The following is a 24,542-nucleotide window of genomic DNA, read 5'->3' as shown; positions in this document are numbered from 1 at the left end:
AAAGTTCATGGCCCTAAATGCCTACATCAAAAAGACTGTAAGAGCACAAACGGACATTCTGAGGTCACACCTCAAGGAACTAGAGAAACAAAAACAAACCAATCCAAACCTAGCAGAAGAAAGGAAGTAACCAAGATCAGAGGAAAACTAAATGAAATTGAAACGAAAACAAATGCAAAAGATAAATGAAACAAAATGCTGGTTCTTTGAAACGATAAATAAAATTGATAGACCATTGGCAAGATTAACCAAGAAAAGAAGAGAGAAAATCCAAATAACCTCACTAAGAAACAAAACAGGAGATATTACCACTGAAACAACTGAAATACAAAAGATCATTCAAGGCTAATATGAACACCTTTACACACATAAAATGGAAAACCTAGAAGAGATGGATAAATTATTGGAAAAATACAACCAACCTAGCTTATATCAGGAAGAACTAGATAACCTGAACAGACCATTAACAAGCAGCAAGATTGAAACAGTAATTAAAAAATTACCAACAAAAAAGGCCAGGACTAGACTGAATCACAGCACAATTCTACCATACATTCAAAGAAAAACTGCTACCAATCCTTTTGACACTATTCCACAAGATAGGGAAAAAAGGAATTAACTCTATGAGGCCAGCATCACCCTAATACCAAAAGCAGGAATGGACATAATCAAAAAAGAAAACTACAGACCGATATCTTTGATGAACATAGATGCTAAAATCCTTAACAAAATACTAGCTAACAGAATCCAACAACATACCAAAAAGATAATCCACCATGATCAAGTGGGTTTCATACCAGGGATGCATGGATGGTTTAACATATGCAAGTCAATAAATGTGATATACTACATAAAGAAAACTAAAAACAAAAATCACATGATCATTTTAGTAGATGCAGAAAAAGCATTCAACAAATTCCAGCATCTCTTTATGATTAAAACTCTCAGCAAAATCAAAATACAAGGGACGTACGTTAATGTAATTAAAAGGCACCTATGACATACCCACAGCCAACATAATACTGAATGGGGAAAAGTTGAAAGCATCCCCTTTGGGAACTGGGACAAGACAAGGATGCCTACTTTCACCACTCCTCTTCAACATAGAACTGGAAGTCCTAACCAGAGCAATCAGACAAGAGAAAGAAATCAAGGGCATCCAAATTGGTAAAGACGAAGTCAAACTGTCACTATTTGATGATATGATTTTTTACCTTGAAAACCCTAAGGACTCCTCCAGAAAGCTCCTAGAACTGATAAAAGAATTCAGCAGAGTTCCCATATACAAGATTAATGTACACAAATCAGTAGCTTTTCTGTACACCAACAGCGACCAAGCAGAGAATCAAGAACTCCACCACTTTTACAATAGCTGCAAAAAAATAAAATTAAAAAATTAAAAAATTTAGGAATATACCTAACCAATGAGTTGAAAGACCTCTGTAAGGAAAACTATACAACACTGCTGAAAGAAATCGTAGATGACATGAACAAACAGAAACACATCTCATGCTCATGGATGGGTAGAATCAATATTGTGAAAATATACAAATGGCCAACAAACATATGAAAAAATGCTCAACATCACTAATGATCAGGCAAATGCAAATCAAAACCACAGTGCAATACCACTTCACTCCTGCAAGAATGGCCATAATCAAAAAATCAATAAAACAGTAGATGTTGGCATGGATGTGGTGAACAGGGAACACTACTACACTGCTGGTGGGAATGTAAACTAGTACAGCCGCTATGGAAAACAGTGTGGATTTCTAAAAGAACTAAAAGTATAACTACAATTTGATCCAGCAATCCCACTACTGGGTATCTAAACCAAAGGAAAAAATGTCATTATTCAAAAAAGATATTTACACACACATGTTTATAGTAGCACAATCCACAATTGCAAAATCATGGATCCAACCCAAATGCCCATCAATCAATGAGTGGATAAACTGTGGCATATATATGATGGAATACTATGCAGCCATAAAAAGGAATGAATTAACAGCATTTGCAATGACCTGGATGAGATTGGAGACTATTATTCTAAGTGAAGTAACTCAGGAATGGAAAACCAAATATCGTATGTTCTCATTGATATGTGGGAGCTAAGCTATGAGGATGCAAAGGCATAAGAATGATGCAATGGACTTTGGGGACTTGGGGGGAAGAATGGAAGGAAGGCAAAGGATAGAAGACTACAAATATGGTGCAGTGTATACTGCTCGGGTGATGGGTGCACCAAAATCTCACAAATCACCACTGAAGAACTTACTCATGTAACCAAGTACTGCCTGTACCCCAATAACTTATGGAAAAATAAAAAAAAACATATATATACACACACACATATATTTGTGACATTCATTAAAAATGGTAAGGAAGACTATTCAATGGGGGGCTACTACAGTGGAGTTTTTTAGCTGTGAGGAGAGATTGGGCTTAACTTTGCATATAAAGAGGAAAAGTAGAAGTGTATAGCCAAGGAGAAATGTTGGAGAGGGTGAGGGTCAGTAGATGGAAAATTACTAGCAGGAAACATCAAAGCTAGGGGAATACTTGCTAGACCTACTCAAAATGAATCTTGCTGAAGCAAGGCCAATGTTAAGAGATATTGAAGGTGGGGAATGAGGAATTTTATTAGATAGCGAGGCTAGGGGATTTACACTAAAGTGATCCAGCAAGAGTCTTGCTAAAACTGGACTAAACAGGCCAAGGACAGAGCTCGAAGCAGGCCCTCCTCAAAAAGGGATCTCAGAGGAGCTTGTCTCAAGTTTGGTCATAGAAAAGAAGTTTTTTTCAGCAGTTTTCATGAAATATTTTCTAGAGGCATGAAGGAACCAAGCATTACAGATATGGAGGGACCTGAAGGGCATATCTTCTTGTGTCTTTCTTACTGGTTCCTGAAACTGGTTTCCTGGCTTGAACAAAAGGAGAAGGGTAATACAGTAATTAGCGAAGTCTGCTTCAGCAGACACTGAATACATGAAACTGCACACATGCTCACATATGGCGGCCTACACATGTGCATACCTACACACAATGTTTAACATCTACTGTACTGAATGGAGAGAGCAGCATATGAAAAGGGACTCAGCTCTGGTTGTCTATATACAAACTGATGAGGTCACACAGCAAAAGTATACACAATCAAGTACATTTTCTGTGATTCTTAATCCTCTGCTCTAAGGCTATTTGTGAAGGCAACCCTTTTACAAGCAATAGCCACAAATCTCATATTTGCTTTGTTCAAATTCAGGCCACTTGTTTTTTCTTCTTCTTTAATTGCTAGAACCTGGAGAAGCAATTGTATTATTAATACTTGCATGAATAAACTGATGACTAGTTGGCCTTGGAGAACATCTTGAGTATTATCCTCTGCAATCTGTACAACTGCCCCAGACGCACTTTAGGAGTTATGCATCGGAGATGACAGGTAACATGCCACCACATCACAGAACACAAATGTCTTGGGTCCACTCCTTGGATTCACTCTGGAGACTGATGTCGGCTTGTCAATTCTGCAGCAAAATCAACAAGAGGAATATGGACTGAAATTCTCCTTAGGCCATCACATGATGAAATCAATTTTTTTTCAGAATCATAAAATGTATTCTCATTGAAACAAGTGATTTAAATTAAACATCTTAAAGAAATGACTGAAATTAGTCTTGTTACTTTAATCTGTGGCAAGACCATAGGGGGAATTGCAAATTCCCATGGTTTTGAACAAATGCCTAAAAGGCAAGACTTTTCCAATTGTAGATCTTTTTGTTAGTTAAATCAAAACTTACCAGGGGGGAAATTGTACTAATATAGTGGAGATGAATCAAAGTTATACAAACTGTATAAGCAGGAGAACACAATGAAAGACAGTGAGCAAGAGACTTATTTTGATGGATTCTTAGAGATGACAGGTCTAAACAATAAACAATGAAGCTCGGTTTTAGACTTTGGAGAATATAGTATGATTTATGAATTCACAGGTAAAAGCGGGAACACTATCACCACCCTAGAAGAAAATCTATAATAGTATTTGAGGAGTCTCTTCTAAAGGCTGTGGAAGTAGATAGACACACACAGGTGTGACATAGCCACTGAAATTATTTCTAGAACAAGATAAACTATAAATCAATGATTAGGCCCAACTTATCAAATAAGTAAGTGTGCTATCTTCTTAGAAGAATGAGTCAACCTTTTCTTTCTTTTTGGTTTTTGTTTTTGTTTTTTTTTTGAGATGGAGTCTCGCCCTGTGGCCCAGGCTGGAGTGCAGTGGCACTGTCTCGGCTCACTGCAAGCTCCGCCTCCCGGGTTCACGCCATTCTCTTGCCTCAGCCTCCCGAGTAGCTGGGACTACAGGCGCCCACCACCATGCCCGGTTAATTTTTTGTATTTTTAGTAGAGACGGGGTTTCACCATGTTAGCCAGGATGGTCTGGATCTCCTGACCTCATGATCCACCAGCCTCGGCCTTCCAAAGTGCTGGGATTACAGGCGTGAGCCAACGCACCTGGCCTGAGTCAACCTTTTCTAATCTGTCAAAATATATTCTAACTACTAATTTTCTTAACAAGAAGCACAAGAATAATTAACAAAGTTAATTAATGTTAAAAATCCAAACTGATTTACTGAGTGCCTACACAATACTAGATAATTGTTTGGATTTCTAAGTCATAAACAAAAGTTACTGCATTTATTCCCAGGAAACTTACAATATAGAAAAGAGACCTGCATTCAGTAAAGCAAAACAATTGAACATGTCTTCTATTGTAATGGAATAAGAACAGGCACGGCATAGTGGATGGAACTTCTGGATCTTGCTGAGGGGCTATCAGGGAGGGCTTCCCAGAGGAGTGAGTGCAAACATCATGGGGGGCTTGGGAAAAGAAGTAAATAGAGATTCACAAGTGATATTATCGTGCAAGTATATTTCCAACTGCGTTATGCGAATAAAGGACCCAGATGATGATTTTCTAGAACAAGTTGAAAACTAATTTTGAGGTCATAATATCCTTCTATTTGAAGTCAAATATTGTGGAAAAATGAAATATTCATTATATTCAGAAATGAATGAAATCGATAAAATTCAAGCAACACTGCTCAAAGACAGATCTCCCTCTTTCTCTCTCTGTCTCTCTATATATGCACACACACATATGTATACACACATACATATATATAATAGTAGACATTAAAGATACAAAATATAAAGAAAGTAGTGACTAATTTTGAAGTTTTAACCAAATATGAGACCTCTTTAATGTCAATAAAATATAAAATGTGTATGTGATTAAAATTTTCTAAAAATAAGTATATGATCAAATTATCTCAAGAAAAAAATAGAAACCCTGAATTGATTAATAGGCATTAAACTAAATAGGTAGTACAAGTTTTTCCTTTTTCCTAGTCTTCAATGACACCATGTACAGATACTACTACAAGCAAGTTTTAGCAAACTTCCCTAGTTTACCTTTGACTTTCACAAATTTTTCCAGAGAATAGAAACGGAGCGGAAGTTATCCCACTTGTTTTAGATTTATATAATTAAAATGACAGACTAGCCAAGGACAGTTCAAAACAAATAGATTATTTCACTTAATAAACATAGTACCAAATCCTTAGATAGATTAAATTGTATTTGTAAATTGACTTCAACATTGTATAATAATTTATGTATTAGGAATGAAAAAGTTATCTACATTATTCATTAAGAGTGAAAAATACATATGATCATCTTTAAAGAGACAGAAAAATCTTCAAATAGATTCTGCTCACAATCATTAAAAATAAAAAAAGGAAACTTTGGAAATTAGTAATAGAAAAAAATTCTTAAAGTTATTTGCCAAAATCCTACAGCAGACAACATACTTAATGGTGAGTATTTCGAAGATTTTCCATCAATAACAGGAATAGAGGAAATATATCTGCTGTTATTGCTGTTCTTGTGCCTTCAAATTTTGCTTTTCCAATATTTATTCATCTCTTCTGAAACTCCTACTACACATAGGCTGCCACTTAGCATTATATCGTCATTTACTTTAATCCTCATTTTTCACTCTTTCCTTCTCTTTAATTATGTTTATACTATAGAAAAGTTTAGATCTATCTTCAGGCACAATTATTCTTTTTTATGGTTTATTAGTCTCTTTTTTAAGGTCTCTATTGAATGATTCCCCTATATATTATTTATTGTCTTATTTGTAGAATATTTATTTGTTTTCAAAATTATTCCTATTTTTTAATCCATAATATGCTGTTTCTGTCTTTTAGAGTCTATTCACCCTTATAATCAGTTAGCCATTTCACTTGTAATTCAGATCATTCTATTGTCTCAAGGACAAGTCTTCAAATATTCTCATGTGTTTCATGTACTGACTTTCCATTGGGGTGGTTTCTTTCCCTCATTCTTTCCCTGATTTCTTTCCCATGTCTATATGTTAGGAGTGGCTTTTGAATCAGCTCAGACCTCCATATTGAGCAGATAATATATGCTAGATTGTTTGAAACCACTTTCAAAATGACCAGCCAAAATTCAGTTACAGCTCTTTGGCTAGACTCTGAAAGGACATAGCCAGAAGTGTACTCACCCTCACCCTCATAAATGTCAAGCTTCCGAAAACCCTCTTTTTCACGGGCTGCATTCACAGTCCTGTAAAATTTTTTAAAAAATGAGGTGTTTTATGTGGTTTTCTTAAAAAAAAAAAAAAAAAAGACCCCTTCTCTCCAATTGTATAAGTTTCAGGTCCTAGAAAATCTGGGACTTCCCTCTGGGTATGACTTTTGAGAAATTAGAGATTCAAAAAAATTCTAAATATGCAATCAGTGATTAGCAACTACAGAACTATTAAACTGCCCACTATAACTGAAAATCTCAAATTCACAAAACATTTTTAAGATGGAAAGAAATATATAATCACAAATGAATATTAAAAGATGGCATGATTAAGAGAGAATTAGGAAAAGTATCAAATAATGAGTTGAAGTCTCAAGAACGTGCCAACAGAGTATATATGTATATATGCATTACATATATATGTACACACATACATATATATATACACACACATATATATATATGTTGTAGTCCATTTCACATTGCTGATAAGATATACCTGAGACTGGGTGATTTATAAAGAAAAAGAGGTTTGATGGACTCACAGTTCCACGTGGCTGGAGAGGCCTCAAAATCATGGTGGAAGCCAAAAGCCACCTCTTACATGGCAACAAGCAAGAGAGAATGAAGACCAAGTGAAAGGAGTTTCCCCTTATATAACCATCAGATCTTGTGAGACTTTTTCACTACCATGAGAACAGTATGGGGGAAACTGCCCTTATGATTCAATTATCCCCCACTAGGTCCCCCCCACAACACATGGAAATTATGGGAGGTATAATTCAAGATGAGATTTGGGTGGGGACACAGCCAAACCATATCTATATCTGTATCTGTCTAATCATCTATCTGTCTATACATATATATACACATATATATTTGTTAAAATTATGTCCATGATACAAAAAAGAAATAGAAAGTCAACAACCTAAAGGGAAAATACTCCAACTGAAATCCTATTTTAGTTCATTCTTCTAGAGTCAGAAAAATAATCTTTATTATAGAAATGTATTTGAGACCTCAAACAATAAAATTAAGATTTCCAGTGAGCGTGTCAGGAAGAAGCACATAAAAAGATACTGAAGAGACTGCAAATGTAGTATCATAGTCTGAACAATTTTAAAAATGGGGGAGAAAGAATGAGCTCAGAAATGGAAGATTAAGCAAATGTTCTGATTTTTCAAAATGAGTAGAGAAAAGATGTCATTTGAGAAAATTACAGTCAGGGGAGGAGAGACTATTCTAGCAAAACTCTAAATAATCAAAGAACATGAATGGATTTTCTTAAGTATATGGAAATTTTTATAATATAGTTGAACTCAACTACAGTAGATAATGACAAACTTGACTCATTCATCTATTGGATGAAATGGCTAAGAGGCTCTTAGGTAGCAGTAGATACACTGTATTAACACCAAGACACAGGATATCATGCGAATTTCTATACAAGATAAAAAACAAGATGCTTTGAAGCAGTTTTCTTATTCAGTTCTGTTGAAACCTGGGTAAGCTGCTGCTGGAATGCCATGTAGCTCTGTTTAAGGTTTTTAACTGATATCTGGGGTATTTGGGTGTATTTTTTTTCCCAAATTTAAAAGCATTAAAGCAGATTTTTCAAACTTGTAAGTGAAGCAGCTGGAGGAAAAGCTAATTTAGTAGGCAACAAAATCAACATTCATTTATTTAGGTCAAAACAAGAGACCAAATTAGAAACGATCATAAAAGCCTTCTCTTTGATGTCCAAGAATTTAGTGTAGAACATTGGTTATATACAGCATTTGTCAAAATACAGGTTTCACATAAGTCAAGAAAAGAATGTTGCCACTGGCCCCAAACTAATATTTGAGAAAATGCCCTAACCACAGGGAATGAAGTCTCTTTGTTGTTGCAATGGGCAGACCACACCTGTGAAGTGGATTTAAATTTTTGTGGTCCACATTAATAAGGACAGTGAAGAATTGAGGAAGAGTCATACAAAGGGTGTATTAGTCCATTTTCACACTGCTATGAAGAACTGCTCAAGTCTGGGTAATTTACAAAGGAAAGAGGTTTAACTGACTCACAGTTAAGCATGGCTGAGGAGGCCTCAGGAAACTTACAATCATGGCAGAAGGCAAAGGGGAAGAAAGGCACATTCTTCACAAGGTGGCAGGAATGAGAAGTGCCAAGCAAAGTGGGAAAAGCCTCTTATAAAACCATCAGATGTCATGAGAACTCACTCACTATCACGAGAATAGCATGGGGGAAACTGCCCCCATGATCCTATTACCTCTCCCTGGTCTCTCCCTTGACACATAGGGATTATGGGGATTATAATCCAAGATGAGATTTGGGTGGGGACACAAAGCCTAACAATATCCTGGGGCAAAGAAAAGAATGAATATTCTTTTTTCTTTTCTTTTGGTCAGATGCGGATGCTACACACAATATCTAAAAATTATTTGAGTGAGTTATTTCATCCAAAAAGAAGCAGCAGCAATGTAATAGAATATTAAAACATTTTTAAAAATCAGGTTGATCAGCAATCAGAAAACTTCCATGCTGCTTCCTTTCTGTCTGAATAACTTGCCATTCTTCACAGACCATGGCAAAAAGCAAGCACTGTGTAGAACTCTCCAGCAATCCCAAGAATGTGCTCTGCCAACTCTTATTTTCTAAACAGTTTGTGTGGACTTCTGTATTATAGTTTTTATTGCATGTGTATTGGCATTATGCGTTTATGGCTGTATTCCTCTTTAGAGTTGAGAGCAGAGACTGTATTTTATTCAAATTTACATGGAATCAAATTTTGGCTTAACTGAGCCAGACCTTTTAAGCAATTAGAGCTCTTCAACAATGGAATGGCATGTGGTATTTTGACAGGAAGGACTCAGGTGTAAATGTTAAGGTAAAAATTCATCCTTCCAGTGGCTATTAAGAGGACTTTTTCAGCAGGTTGGATTGGGAAAGAGGTGTATATGAACAAAATGAAAGAACATAAAGGGTTTTCTTTTAATTCTAAAATTCAGTGGTTTCCTTTCCACATCTCTCCCTTCTGCCCTTCTCTTCTACAGCATTTTTGGCACCCTATTCCCTTTCCCCACCAACAAAATAGTCCATCTAGGCTGCTATAATAAAATGCCATAAACAAGGTAGCTTATAAACAATAGAAATTTTTTTCTTATGCTTCTAGAGGATGAGAAGTCCAAGATGAAGGTGGTGGCTGATTCTTTGTCTGCTAAGGGCCTACTTGCTTGTTCATAAATGGTGCCTTCTTGCTGTGTTCTCACATGGCTAAAGGGACTAGAAGTCTATTGTAGCCTCTTATATAAGGACACTAATTTCATTCATGAGGGCTCTGCCAAGAACCTAATCACCTAATCACCTCCAAAACACCATACCTCCTAATACCATCATCTTGGGGATTAGGATTTAAATATCTGAACTATTTAAACATATTTAAATATGTTTTAGGATTTCAACATAATTTTAAACATTTAAACATATAATAAAGATGGTCCTGATATAGGATTCTTTAGTATTAAGATCCTCACTGGTAACCAAAGGTTACTTCATCTACTTCAATAAAACCACATTATGGGGACACCTCTTCTAAGAGGCTCAACTACTTCCAACAAATGGAACATAGAGGTAAAAAGGGCTCTGAATATTGATTTAAAAGACACTTGTCTGAAGTTTATCCTAACTTACTCATTACATGAGCTTTGATAACTCACTTAGTTTCTCTGAATCTAATGGAGTTATTGAAAACCTCAAATAGTATCATTATTGTGAGAAAATCTGTATGGTTTTTTATAAATATAAGTAGTACTATCAGTATTATCTTCATAGTAATTCTGCCTTCAATGTCCTCAGTGTATGGTGGGTCATTGTTTGGACAGGAATATGTTCAGGATATAGTGGCTACATGTAATACTGGCTTCTTTCCCTTTATTTGCCTATAAGATCATTGCACTCTCCCAGCAGAACGTAATATCATTTAGCTCACAGACTCTAAAGATACTTAACTTTTGGTATCATAGGAAATTACACATTTCTATTAAAGATCACTTTAATCACTCTACCTTTCATTCAGTGAATTGTGACACACCACTCTGAAGAAGCCTGGCTGTATATATAATCCCTGTTTGTCTTGTCAAAATGGGCACATGTACTCAAACACTAGAGATTTTGTACTTGTGTCTCTGGGGATCATCCAGACCCTTGAAGTCTTACTGTACTTTTTAAAAGGTGCCTCTACTCATTGCATCATTTGTAGGACCCAGTGCAAAATAAAGGCATGGAGTCTTTCGTTTAAAAATATAAAAATTTCAAGATGGTGACATTACAGCATTAAACTAAGCACGAGGCCTTTCTGGGCATGGGGCCCTGTGTAACTGCATAGGTTAAAACCCATGAAGCCACCCTGCCAAGTGTCCAGGCAACAGTGAAGGTAAAATTGCTGTAAACCACTATAACAGGAGAATGAGCCTTACTACCAACTGTGTAAACATTTGAATTAATGCACAGAGAAATTTCTGAATAGCCACAAGCCTTAAAGGAGCTTCAAATACAATACAAACTACATTTGGAACTAAGAAAAATTCTGCTTTAACTCTTTCAGAGCAAAATTGAAAATCTACGGTTCTGTCTTTCAGCTGCAGAACTAAACACCAAAAAAGCTTGAGTTTCTACTAAATCGCTCTTGTGTTTCACTAGAGGTGGTTTCAGTTCAGCAACAAGGTGACCTCACAGCAGGATATTGGTAAATATTTGTAAATGCTTTTGAGATTAAAAAAATTCTTCTGTTAATATGTTACTGATTATCGTAAAATTGACTCTGCTAGAGACTCTGTTAATCATTTTTTATCTTAATGGCAATAAAAGAAACGGGAAGGAGGATGAGGAAAAGGAGGAGAAAGGAGGAAGAGAAGGAGGAGAAAAAGGAGGAAGAGAAGGAGGAGGAAGGAAAAGGGGAAGGAGAAATTTCCAGGGGGAGACTTCAGTACTTGGACTACATTCATTACTTTTTATCACTGATGCTAAATGCTAGAATCTGTGAACCAAATTTTTTACTTTGTCATGGGTAATTCTATCTCAACTAAAAGCTGGAGGTTTTCAAGGTGTGTTTTAATTCACAGCAATTTTATTTTCATTAACAGAACCACTGCTGCTGTTTTATGAACTTCTCAAGAGATGAGAATTCTGAAAGAAGGCCTTGATTTTCTCATATTTTATAATAATATTCACTAATTCAATCATTCATCTGTTTTATTCTTCAATAATAATAAATACGGTTTAATTCAAAGATAAATTTAAAGAAGAGAAGAAAAATGTTGGTTCCTGAAATGCAGACATTTAGGCAATCTTCAAAACATTTGCTTGAATAAACATTCAGACTTTAATTTAGTGGTAAGGATAATTGCTTAAAATTATTTTTCTCAAATGTTGTCTTTATCTTGGTTGTTATTCCATATTATATATTAAAATTAGAATATCTATTATATATTCTGTGTTACTTACCAACGCTGGACTTAGCCACACCTCATTCCTTACTTAACAGACATACTATACACACATACTCACATATTCCACCTTAAAGAGGATTTAATAGGCCAGGCGCGGTGGCTCACGCCTGTAATCCCAGCACTTTGGGAGGCCGAGGCGGGCGGATCACGAGGTCAGGAAATCGAGACCGTCCTGGCTAACACAGTGAAACCCCGTCTCTACTAAAAAACTCCGTCTCTACTAAAAATACAAAAAATTAGCCGGGCGTGGTTGCAGGCGCCTGTAGTCCCAGCTACTCGGGAGGCTGAGGCAGGAGAATGGCCTGAGCCTGGGAGGCGGAGCTTGCAGTGAGCCAAGATTACACCACTGCACTCCAGCCTGGGCGACAGAGCCAGACTCTGTCTCAAAAAAAAAAGATTTAATAGAGATTGAAGAATTATAGTGTTATTACTTTATGAAAGAGCTACCTCTTGGTGCCATTGCCTCTGCCATTGGTTTGTTTGGAATACAATTTCAAATAACTTTTAGGTTTTCGTTTTGAAATGAAACGATTTTCAAAACAGGTACTTACAGAAGTTCCTCATTTTATTTAAAAGCCATAAAAACTATACCTTCAATACACAGTGCTTCTAGCCTCTGAAAATAATATTTTATGTGACATGTGACTTAACCTTATTTATCTAACAAAACTTTATTGAGGAAACACCACAGGAAAATACTATGCTAAGAAGTTTTTATATAAATACTAAATGGGAAGTTTTAGGTAAATATAAGCCCTTTTCCTTTAGAGCAAACAAAATTTGTTATGTTCTAATATCATAACTTTTGGCATATTTAAATGAGCTGAAAGTTTAACAGTAATGTTGTGAAACATGTAAAAATTAATTGACATCTTTCAAAATATTAACATGCATAAGAAATATGTTAAATAAATTTTAACAAAGTAAACAAAGCCTCACGATAATAATTCTTTATATTTTAAGAAAAGCGATTATTTTCTTCTAGTGTCAATGCAGATTATTTTACTTGATTTTTGGTTACAGGTCAATTTTTCCTTCTAAAATTCAGCAAATAGTGAATGAGTAGCATCTACGCAAATATTAGAAAATGCTTAGTGACATCTACTGTAGATGACTGGAGACATCTGTGAACTTAGACAAATTTCTGCTTGCCTTCTAACACTTCAGGTTTAAAAGGGATAGCGTTGACTGGGAAGCTTCTCACTTTCATTTCTGAAATAAAACATTAAGACTTCTTTGAAACTAAAATAATTTCTGCTAACCAGTTGCAAAGTACAACTGTGTTCCAAAATATTTTGGAACTTTATTTATTGTTTGCATGTTCAGAAATTAATTATGTATGCATACATTTATGTATTCATTACAGGCTTTGTTGCTGCCCAGTCTTTTGAAAGATATTTGAAAATTCAGGATACATGTTTACAGAAGAGACAAACTTGACTTCATTATCTAGAGCCAGAACACATAGTATCTGTATATCCACGGTGATTGGGACTAATGCCAAGATTTGAAATAATACCTCAGACAGTTCAGCTTCAGAGAGAGAATAGCTTTTGAAAAATCTAAAATCTACCTTAGGAACGTACATTTCTCTAAGCAAAGTGAGTATGTAAACAAAATGTTTTATTATCAGGGATTTCTCCCTTTCCCCTTCAATGTTCCCTTTCTCTTTCACCAGGCTCCCAGGCTCTTGACACTCCTGGTTCCTCCCAGTCCCCTTGTGATTCCTTTAATATCTATGCCTATTTCTGAGATATCCCTTCCTCACTCTGCCCCCTGCATACCCGTCAGTTGCCTTGTAATGTCCCTTTCCCTGAAAGCCTCGTTATTTACCTACATTTAAAATATAGATTATATTAGGCTTATACCCTAACCATTCCACATGAGATCTACACTGTAATTGAGGCTTCTAAAAAGTGATGTGGTATGGAGGACCATGATCAGATCAGTGGAGGCCTTTGGGAGACGGGGGAGCTTTGGAAATCACATCAGTGAAAGGTGTGGACAAAAACGGCCTTTTGTTGTTCCACATCATTTTTTAATCGTATTTTTTAAAGAAAAAAATGAAAAGATTCCCTCAAGTAAGTATATTATTCTGGTTTCCTCAGACCATCTCACTAACATGTTTCATTCACTATTCCAGTATTTCACTCGCGTTGGTGAGAAGAGACCACCAAACAGGCTTTGTGTGAGCAATAAAGCTTTTTAATCACCTGGGTGCAGGCGAGCTGAGTCTGAAAAGTGAGTCAGCGAAGGGAGATAGGGGTGGGGCCGATTTATAGGATTTGGGTAGGTAAAGGAAAATTACAGTCAAAGGGGGATGTTCTCTGGTGGGGAGGGGTGGGGTCACAAGGTTCTCAGTGGGGGAGCTTTTGAGCCAGGATGAGCCAGGAAAAGGAATTTCACAGTTTGCCAGTCCTGGGCGGGGGCAAATCCTCGAGCTTGATGTGTAGGAAAGGGAGGGGGCCTGAGCAATCCTTGAGGGGTAGTAGAATAGCAGATGGAACATTGAGAAGTGATTTCTTTGAGGATAGATTTCCACGATGGAAAGGAAATGAGAGGTTCTAAGAGGCAGGCTAGTGGCTTGTACTATAGCATAGCCTGCCTTTGCTAGTGTGTGGTGATTAGGCCTGGTGGAACTGCCATCAGTAAACCAAGTGTGATCAGGGTGAGGAACAGGAAAGAAGGAAATATGGGGAAATGGGGTGAATGTCAGGTGGATCAGAGAGATACAGTCATGAGGTTCAGGTGTGGTATCAGGAATAATGTGGGAGGCCGGATTGAAGTCTGGGCCAGGAACAATGGTAATTGTGGGAGACTCAACAAAGAGTGAGTACAGCTGAAGGAGCCGGGGAGCAGAAAGTATATGCGTCAGGTGTGAGGAAGAAAATAGATTTTGGAAGTTAGGAGAACTGTAGAGAGTAAGTTGAGCATAGTTTGTGATTTTTGGGGCTTCTAAAAGTATTAAAGCAGTGGCAGCCGCTGCATGCAGACATGAGGGCTAGGCTAAAATAGTAAGGTCAAGTTGTTTGGACAGAAAGGCTACAGGGCGTGGTCCTGGCTCTTGTGTAAGAATTCTGACTGCATTAACCATGCCTAGGAAGGAAAGGAGTTGCTGTTTTGTAGAAGGGATTGAGGTTTGGGAGATTAGCGGGACACAATCAGCAGGGAGAGCACGTGTGTTTTTATGAGAATTATGCCGAGATAGGTAACAGATGAGGATGAAATTTGGGCTTGACTGAAGTAATGGGAGCTGTCTGTGAAGCCTTGCGGCAGTACAGCCCAGGTAATTTGCTGAGCCTGATGGGTGTCAGGGTCAGTCCAAGTGAAAGTGAAGAGAGGCTGGGATGAAGGGTGCAAAGGAATAGTAAAGAAAGCATGTTTGAGATCTAGAGCAGAATAATGGGTTGTGGAGGGAGGTATTGAGGATAGGAGAGTACATGGGTTTGGCACCACCATGGGGTGGATAGGCAAAACAATTCGGTTGATAAGGCGCAGATCCTGAACTAACCTGTAAGGCTTGTCTGGCTTTAGGACAGGTAAAAAGGGGGAATTGTAAGGAGAGTTTATATGCTTTAAAAGACCATGCTGTAGCAGGAGAGTGATAACAGTGTCAGGCCTCTGAGCCCAAGCTAAGCCATCATATCCCCTGTGACCTGCACGTACACATCCAGATGGTCGGTTCCTGCCTTAAATGATGACATTCCACCACAAAAGAAGTGAAAATGGACTGTTCCTGCCTTAAGCGATGACATTATCTTGTGAAATTCCTTCTCCTGGCTCATCGTGGCTCAGAAGCTCCCCTACTGAGCACCTTGTGACCCCCACTCCTGCCTGGCAGAGAACAACCCTCCTTTCACTATAATTTTCCTTTACCTACCCAAATCTTATAAAAACGGCCCCACCCCTATCTCCCTTCACTGACTCTCTTTTTGGACTCATCCTGCCTGCACCCAGGTGAAATTAACAGCCTTGTTGATCACAGAAAGCCTGTTTGGTGGTCTCTTCACATGGCCACGAGTGAAATTTGGTGCCGTGACTCGGATCGGGGAACCTCCCTTAGGAGATCAATCCCCTGTCCTCCTGCTCTTTGTTCCATGAGAAAGATCCACGTACGACCTCTGGTCCTCAGACCAAACAGCCCAAGGAACATCTCACCAATTTTAAATCCGGTAAGCAGCCTCTTTTTACTCTCTTCTCCAACCTCTCTTGCTATCCCTCAACCTCTTTCTCCTTTCAATCTTGGCGCCACACTTCAATCTCTCCTTTCTCTTAATTTCAGTTCCTTTCCTTTTCTGGTAGAGATGAAGGAGATGCGTTTCATCCGTGGACCCAAAACTCTGATGCCAGTCACAGACTCAGGAAGACATTCTTCCCTTGGTGTTTAATCACGCGGGGACGCCTGCCTGATTACTCACCCACGTTTCAGAGGTGTCTGACCACATGGGGATGCCTGCCTTGGTCCTTCAACCTTAGCAGCAAGTACCACTTTTCTGGGGGTGTGTGGGACCCCATGGAAAATCAGACTGTTCAACTCACCTGGCAGCCACTGACAGAGCCCCTGGAAATCTGGCCCAAGACTCTCTAACTGACTCCTTCCCAGATCTTCTCAGTTTAGAGTCTGAAGACTGACACTGCCCGATCACCTTGGAAGCCCCCTAAACCATCTTGGATGCTGAGCTTCGGGTAACTCTCACAGTGGTGGGTAAGTCCATCCCCTTCTTAATCTCTATGGAGGCTAACCACTCCACATTACATTCTTTTCAAGGGCCTGTTTCCCTTGCCTTCATAACTGTTGTGGGTATTGATGGCCAGGCTTCTAAACCTCTTAAAACTCCCCAACTCTGGTGCCAACTTAGCCAATACTCTTTTAAGCACTCCTTTTTAGTTATCCCCACCTGCCCAGTTCCCTTATTAGGCCAAGACACTTTAACTAAGTTATCTGCTTCCCTGACTATTCCTGAGCCACAACCACACCTCGTTGCCACCTTTTCCCCCAGTTCAAAGCCTCCTTCACATCCTCACCTTGTATCTCCCCACCTTAACCCACAAGTATAAGACACCTCTACTCCCTCCTTGGTGACCGATCATGCACCCCTTACCATCCCATTAAAACCTAATCACTCTTATCCCGCTCAATGCCAATATCCCATCCCACAGCATGCCTTAAAAGGATTAAAGCCTGTTATCACTCGCCTGCTACAGCATGGCCTTTTAAAGCCTATAAACTCCCCTTACAATTCCCCCATTTTACCTGTCCTAAAACCAGACAAGGCTTACAGGTTAGTTCAGGATCTGCGCCTTATCAACCAAATTGTTTTGCCTACCCACCCCATGGTGCCAAACCCATATACTCTCCTAGCCTCAATACCTCCCTCCACAACCCATTATTCTGTTCTGGATCTCAAACATGCTTTCTTTACTATTCCTTTGCACCCTTCATCCCAGCCTCTCTTTGCTTTCACTTGGACTGTCCCTGACACCCATCAGGCTCAGCAAATTAGCTGCAAGTCTTCACAGACAGCTCCTATTACTTCAGTCAAGCCCAAATTTCCTCTTCATCTGTTATCTATCTTGGCATAATTCTCATAAAAACACGTGCTCTCCCTGCTGATCATGTCGGACTAATCTCCCAAAATCCAATCCCTTCTACAAAACAACTCCTTTCCTTCCTAGGCATGGTTAGTGCGGTCAGAATTGTTACACAAGAGCTGGGACCGCACCCTGTAGCCCTTCTGTCCAAACAACTGGACCTTACTGTTTTAGCCTAGCCCTCATGTCTGCATAGAGTGGCTGCCGCTGCTTTAATACTTTTAGAGGCCCAAAAAATCACGAACTATGCTCAACTCACTCTCTACAGTTCTCCTAACTTCCAAAATCTATTTTCTTCTTCACACCTGACACATATACTTTCTGCTCCCCGGCTCCTTCAGCTGTACTCACTCTTTGTTGAGTCTCCCACAATTACCATTGTTCCTGGCCCGGACTTCAATCCAGCCTCCCACAATATTCCGGGTACCACACCTGACTCCCATGACGGTATCTCTCTGATCCACCTGACATTCACCCCATTTCCCCATATTTCCTTCTTTCCTGTTCCTCACCCTGAACACGCTTGGTTTATTGATCGCAGTTCCACCAGGCCTAATCGCCACACACCAGCAAAGGCAGGCTATGCTATAGTACAAGCCACCAGCCCACCTCTCAGAACCTCTCATTTCCTTTCCATCATGGAAATCTATCCTCAAGGAAATAACTTCTCAGTGTTCCATCTGCTATTCTACTACTCCTCAGGGATTATTCGGACCTGCTCCCTTTCCTACACATTAAGCTTGAGGATTTGCCCATGCCCAGGACTGGCAACTCTTAATTCCCTCTTAGAGTGGATAGATGATCTTTGCTGGCAGGGGACCCTCCAATAATTTCATCCTGATGAAGTTCTATTCTTTACTTTTAGAGTCACTCTTATTCTCATTCCCATTCTTTAGCCACCCTCTACTTCTCCCCAGCCATCTCCACCACACTATCAACCTTACTCATTCTCTCCTAGCCATTTCTAATCTCTCCTTAGCGAACAACTGCTGGCTTTGCATTTCCCTTTCTTCCAGTGCCTACACAGCTGTCTCCACCTTAAACACAGACTGGGCAATATCTCCTGTCTCCTTACACCTCTGAACTTCCTTTAACAGCCCTCACCTTTACCCTCCTGAAGAACTTATTTACTTTCTAGACAGGTCCAGCAAGACCTCCCCAGACATTTCACATCAGCAAGCTGCCACCCTATTCCACACTTACTTCAAAAACCTTTCTCCTTATATCAACTCTACTCCCCCCATATTTGGACCTCTCACAACACAAATTACTATTCCTGTGGCCGCTCCTTTATGTATCTCTAGGCAAAGACCCACTGCAATCCCCCTAGGTAACTTTCACCTGCTCGACGTTCCTTTACTGTTCATCTCCAAAGCCCTCTTCTTGTTTACTTATACCCAGCCCTGAAAATAACAGTGAAAGGTTGCTCGTAGGTACTCAACGTTTTTTCACACACCATGAAAATTGAATCTCCCCCTCTTCGCAGTTACCTCATCAGTCCCCATTACAACCTCTGACGGCTGCCGCCCTAGCTGGATCCCTAGGAGTCTAGGTACAGGACACTCCTTTGCAGCACTCCTTCTCATCTTTTTACTTTGCATCTCCAGTTTTGCCTCGCACAAGGTCTCTTCTTCCTCTGTGGATCCTCTACATACTTCTGTATACCTGCTAATTGGACAGGCACATGCACACTAGTTTTCCTTACTCCCAAAATTCAATTTGCAAATAGGACTGAAGAGCTCCTTCTTCCCCTCATGACACCAACACGACAAAAAAGTTATTCCACTAATTCCCTTGCTTGTCAGTTTAAGACTTTCTGCCTCCACTATTGCTCTTGGTACTGGAATAGCAGGCATTTCAACCTCTTTCACGACCTTCCGTAGCCTCTCTAATGACTTCTCTCCTAGCATCACAGACATATCACAAACTTTTTCAGTCCTCCAGGCCCAAGTTGACTCTTTAGCTGCAGTTGTCCTCCAAAACCGCTGAGGCCTTGACTTACTCACTGCTGGAAATGGAGGACTCTGTGTATTCTTAAATGAAGAGTGTTGTTTTTACCTAAATCAATCTGGCCTGGTGTGTGACAACATAAAAAACTCAAGGATAGAGTCTAAAAACTTGCCAGCCAAGCAAGTAATTACACTGAAGCCCCTTGGACACTCTCTAATTAGATGTCCTAGGTCCTCCCAATTCTTAGTCCTTTAATACCTGTTTTTCTCCTTCTCTTACTCCGTTTAGCTTTTCGATTCATACAAAACTGTATCCAGGCCATCATCAATAATTCTACACAACAAATGTTTCTTCTAACAACCCCACAATATCCCCCCTTACCACAAAATCTTCCTTCTGCTTAATCCCTCCCACTCTAGGTTCCCGTGCCACCCCTAATCCCTCTTGAAGCAGCCCTGAGAAACATCGCCCATTATTTCTCCATACCACCCCAAAAAATTTTTGCCATCCCAACACTTTACCACTATGTCATTTTATTTTTCTTCTTATTATAAGAAGACAAACAGGCTTTAATCTTTTTAAGGCATGCTGCGGGATGGGATATTGACATTGAGTGGGGTATGAGTGATTAGGTTTTAATGGGATGGTAAGGGGTACATGATCAGTCGCCAAGGAGGGAGTAGAGGTATCTTATACTTCTGGGTTAAGGTGGGGAGATGCAAGGGCAGGATGTGAAGGCGGCTTTGAACTGGGGGAAAAGGCGGCAACGAGGTGTGGCTGTAGCCTAGGAATAGTCAGGGAAGCAGATAATTAGTTAAAATGTCTTGACCTAATAAGGGAACTGGGCAGGTGGGGATAACTAAAAAGGAGTGCATAAAAGAATGCTGTGCAAGTTGGCACCACAGTTGGGGAGTTTTAAGAGGTTTAGAAGCCTGGCCGTCAATACCGACAACAGTTATGGAGGCAAAGGAAACAAGCCCTTGAAAAGAAGGTAATGTGGAGTGGGTAGCCTCAGTATTGATTAAGAAGGGGACGGACTTACCTTCTACTGTGAGAGTTACTTAAAGCATCTGTGATGGTCTAAGAAGATTCTGAGGCGATCAGGCAGCGTCAGTCTTCAGCCACTAAGCGAAGAAGATCTGGGAAAGAGCCAGAGAGCCTTGGGCCAGAGTTCCAGGGGCTCTGGGAGTGGCTGCCGGGTGAGTTTGATAGTCCAATTTCCAGTGGGGTCCCGCACAGATGGGACACGGCTTAGGAGGAATCCTGGGCTGCCGGCATTCCTTGGCCCGGTGGTCAGATTTCTGGCACTTGTAGCAAGCTCTTGGGGGAGGCAGGCCTGGAGGAACGCCTGGCCACTGTGGTTTAGGTGTTTGGAAGAAGTCCTTGTGTGCTGGAGATGTGGTTGAGGTTTCTCTCACAGTGGAGGTAAGGAATTGCAACTCAGAAATATGTTGCTACTTGGCTGCCTCTATTCTGTTATTGTACACCTTGAAGGTGAGGTTAGTTAAGTCCTGTTGTGGGGTTTGAGGGCTGGAATTTAATTTTTCTAGCTTTATTTAATGTTGGGTGCAGATTGGGTAATAAAATAAAATGTATATTGAGAATAAGACGGCCTTTTGACCTTTCAGGGTCTAGGGCTGTAAAGCGTCTCAGGGTTGCTGCCAAAGGGGCCGTGAACTGGGCTGGGTTTTTCATATTTGATGAAAGAGTCTAAACGCTAACTGATTTGGGAGAGGTTGGATAAAGAAAAAGGAGCATCAACCTTGACTATGCCTTTGGCTGCAGCCACTTTTTAAGAGGACATTGCTGGGCAGGTGCAGGAAGAAAACTGTAAGCCGGACCGGGTGTGAGGAGGGGAGGTGATAAAAGGATTATAGGGTGGAGGAGCGGAGGCTGAGGAAGAGTTGGGACCTAGCTTGACCTGGTGATGAGGGGAGAGGTCAGATGGGTCTGTAGAAAAGGAAGATTAGAAAGACTCAGCAACACTTGGGGTTGGGACTGAGGGGACAGGCGAGAGGGAAAGAAGGAGGATTTGGGACAAATCGCATTGGGGACAGAGACTAGGGAGGGACCGAGGTGTCAAAGAATGCCTGGACATCAGGCACCTCAGACTGTTTGCCTATTTTACGATAAGAATTATTTAGATATTGTAGGATGTAGAAATTGAAAGTGCCATTTTCTGGCTATTTGGAACCACTGTCAAATTTGTATTGGGGTCAAGCGGCATTGCGGAAGAAAATAAGGCATTTAGGTTTTAGGTCAGGTGTGAATTGAAGAGGTTTTAGGTTTTTAAGAACACAGGCTAAGGGAGAAGAAGGGGGAATGGAGGGCAGAAGCTTGCCCATAGTGAAGGAGGCAAGCCCAGAGAAAAGAGAGTAGAGACACGGAGAGAAGGGGTTGGGGGGTTCTTGCCCTCCAGAAAAGTGCAGAAGGGGTAGAGACACGAAGAGAAGGGGTCAGGGGATTCTTGCCCTCCAGAAAAGTAGAGAAGGGGTAGAGATACAGAGAGAAGGGGTCAGACACAATTGGCAGGGAGGCACCAAATTTCACTTGCGTCCGTGTGAAGAGACCACCAAACAGGCTTTGTGTGAGCAATAAAGCTTTTTAATCACCTGGGTGCAGGCGGGCTGAGTCCGAAAAGAGAGTCAGCGAAGGGAGATAGGGATGGAGCTGTTTTATAGGGTTTGGGTAAGTAAAGGAAAATTACAGTTAAAGGGGGATGTTCTCAGGCGGGCAGGGTTGGGGGTCACAAGGTACTCAGTCGGGGAGGTTTTGAGCCAGGATGAGTCAGGAAAAGGAATTTCACAAGGTAATGTCATCAGTTAAGGCAGGAACTGGCCATCTGGATGTGTACATGCAGTTCACAGGGGATATGATGGCTCCACACAGGGATGAGAGTTGCTGCTGCCCAGTCCAGAGCCACAGAGCCAAGGAGGGCCTGGCCTGCCCCATGGCCCATTACAGAAGAGTTCTTCTTGTTGGCAGAGACTGGGATGAAATTCCTTACCATGAAGGACTGTATTTTTTTTTTAACTTAAATATTCATTGAGCAGCTTCTATATGCAAATTATGAATATGGAGATTCATATCATATATTGTCACTGCTTCAAAAAGCTCACAATCTCTTTTCTTCCGCACAGATTTCTGCATCCTCTCAGTCATGATGATAAAGGATTTACTACCTCAGTCATGTCACCACTCTTGAATATCATTCCCATGGCATGGTGCAGTAGGAACTGGTATGTACTAAAGATATCACCAAACATCATTTGTGTTTCTACCAGAAACCTCCAAAGTGACTAATTTGAGTTTTACCTAATCGATCTTCACAGGTTGACTTTTAAAACTAAGTTATAATAATCTTAAAGCGATTGGAAATTGAGAAGAATGTAATGGAAAATATATTTATATGGCTTGGTTAGCCAAAATTCCCTCATAAAGCACCAACCTGCAGGATCCCTTAGCAATTTACTGAAGATGAAAAATAAGCAGAACAACTTTTTATAGGTCTGTAGTCACTAGAGATTAATTACAAACACTAGGTGTATTTTAACCTAATTCTTGGTTCCTGAAAAGCACTGCAGATGACAGCAACAAAAGATAATACCTGCTTTTACCACGGGGGAAAAAAATGGATAACTGCGAGAGGTGATGGATATGTTAATTTGTTCCACAATAGTAACCATGTTAACTAAATACATGTATCTGATAACATCATGTTGTAGATCTTAAAATACACACAATAAAATTTATTTTTAAGTTAATCAGATTCCCACCTTATTTCTTCTTAAATATCCTTGGTGGGAAAAAAATGAGATGGTAAACAAATTGTTGAGCAATTCCTAAACATTCCTCATTAATTATATATCTAGTGGAGGGGTTCATTTTGTTTTGAAATTAGTATTGCATTGAAGTAGTGTTTTTAGATATTCTCATAATACAGTTTACCTCACCCATAGGCCTGTCTGGTGTGATTTATAAGAGACCAAGAAAACTTCAGCCTAAAAACACTTCCCATGCTGATGCCTGAAGTTGCTGAGTTAGGAATTGATTTATCTTGCTTCATTTAGTTCATTGCCCATTCTCAACTCGTTTTATTTTAAAATCAAAATGTGTTTTCAAACATGATCCACTTAACTGACAGCCTGAATTCAATCCGTGTAGGTTACTAAGTAATATTTTAAATCCTTTTTCATTCCTTTTACCTCAAAGTAACGGACCTGAGGAGATGACAGCCCATGAGCTAACCATCCCCTGATTATTACATGATTGCATGTAATGACACTTTAGGAAAGGAGTGGCCCTGAAAGTCTTTTAAGGACAATTTTCTTAGAGTTTACAAAGTGGGAATATTCCATGAAAGCCTTTATTTGCTCTGTGTTTATTTATCTTATATATCTACCTATTACTATTCTTAGGATGAATGAATTGTATCCAATGTTCAAAATATCTTTTTGCCTGGGCCGCGTGCGGTGGCTCACGCCTGTAGTCCCAGCACTTTCGGAGGCCGAGGCGGGCAGATCACGAGGTCAGGAGATCAAGACCATCCTGGGACCAACCCAGGAGGTGGAGCTGGCAGTGAGCTGAGATCGCAACACTGCACTCCAGCCTGGGTGACAGAGCGAGACTCCGTCTCAAAAAAAAAAAAAAAAATATTTTTGCCATTAATGGGCACCTAGGTTGATTTCATGTCTTTGCCATTGTGAATAGCACCGTGATGAACATACAACTGCATGTGTCTTCTTGGTAGAATGATTTATTTTATTTTGGGTAAATACCCGGTAAAGAGATTGCTTGGTTGAATGGTAGCTCTGTTCTAAGTTATTCAAGAAATCTCTGAGACTGCTTTTCACAGTGGTTGGACTAATTTACATTCCC

The 24,542-nt window shown here is 39.7% G+C and overlaps 3 long non-coding RNA genes across 4 annotated transcripts in view; 2 read left to right on the top strand and 1 right to left on the bottom strand.

Moving 5' to 3' along the window:
• The window catches only part of LOC105374458 (uncharacterized), a 33,938-nt gene extending 20,365 nt beyond the window's left edge, over window positions 1–13,573 (top strand). For both annotated transcript variants that reach the window (XR_007086277.1, XR_002959378.2), the window contains exons 4-6: window positions 11,253–11,359; window positions 11,757–12,006; window positions 13,489–13,573. This is a non-coding gene — a long non-coding RNA (uncharacterized LOC105374458). The remainder of the gene's footprint in view (window positions 1–11,252; window positions 11,360–11,756; window positions 12,007–13,488) is intronic.
• LINC01320 (long intergenic non-protein coding RNA 1320) overlaps window positions 1–24,542 on the bottom strand; it is a 45,007-nt gene that overhangs the window by 5,461 nt on the left and 15,004 nt on the right. Inside the window, exon 2 of the long non-coding RNA NR_126404.1 lies at window positions 3,330–3,524. This is a non-coding gene — a long non-coding RNA (long intergenic non-protein coding RNA 1320). The remainder of the gene's footprint in view (window positions 1–3,329; window positions 3,525–24,542) is intronic.
• On the top strand, window positions 16,617–23,237 carry LOC107985865 (uncharacterized). Its single transcript, XR_001739399.2, has 3 exons — window positions 16,617–16,827; window positions 22,805–22,903; window positions 22,997–23,237. It is a non-coding gene; the product is annotated as an uncharacterized LOC107985865 (long non-coding RNA).

This window comes from Homo sapiens, chromosome 2 (assembly GCF_000001405.40).
Source record: "Homo sapiens chromosome 2, GRCh38.p14 Primary Assembly".
NCBI classification, from domain to species: Eukaryota; Metazoa; Chordata; class Mammalia; order Primates; family Hominidae; genus Homo; species Homo sapiens.
The sequence above is the reverse complement of the archived record's forward strand: the minus strand, read 5'-3'. Positions and strand labels throughout refer to the sequence as shown.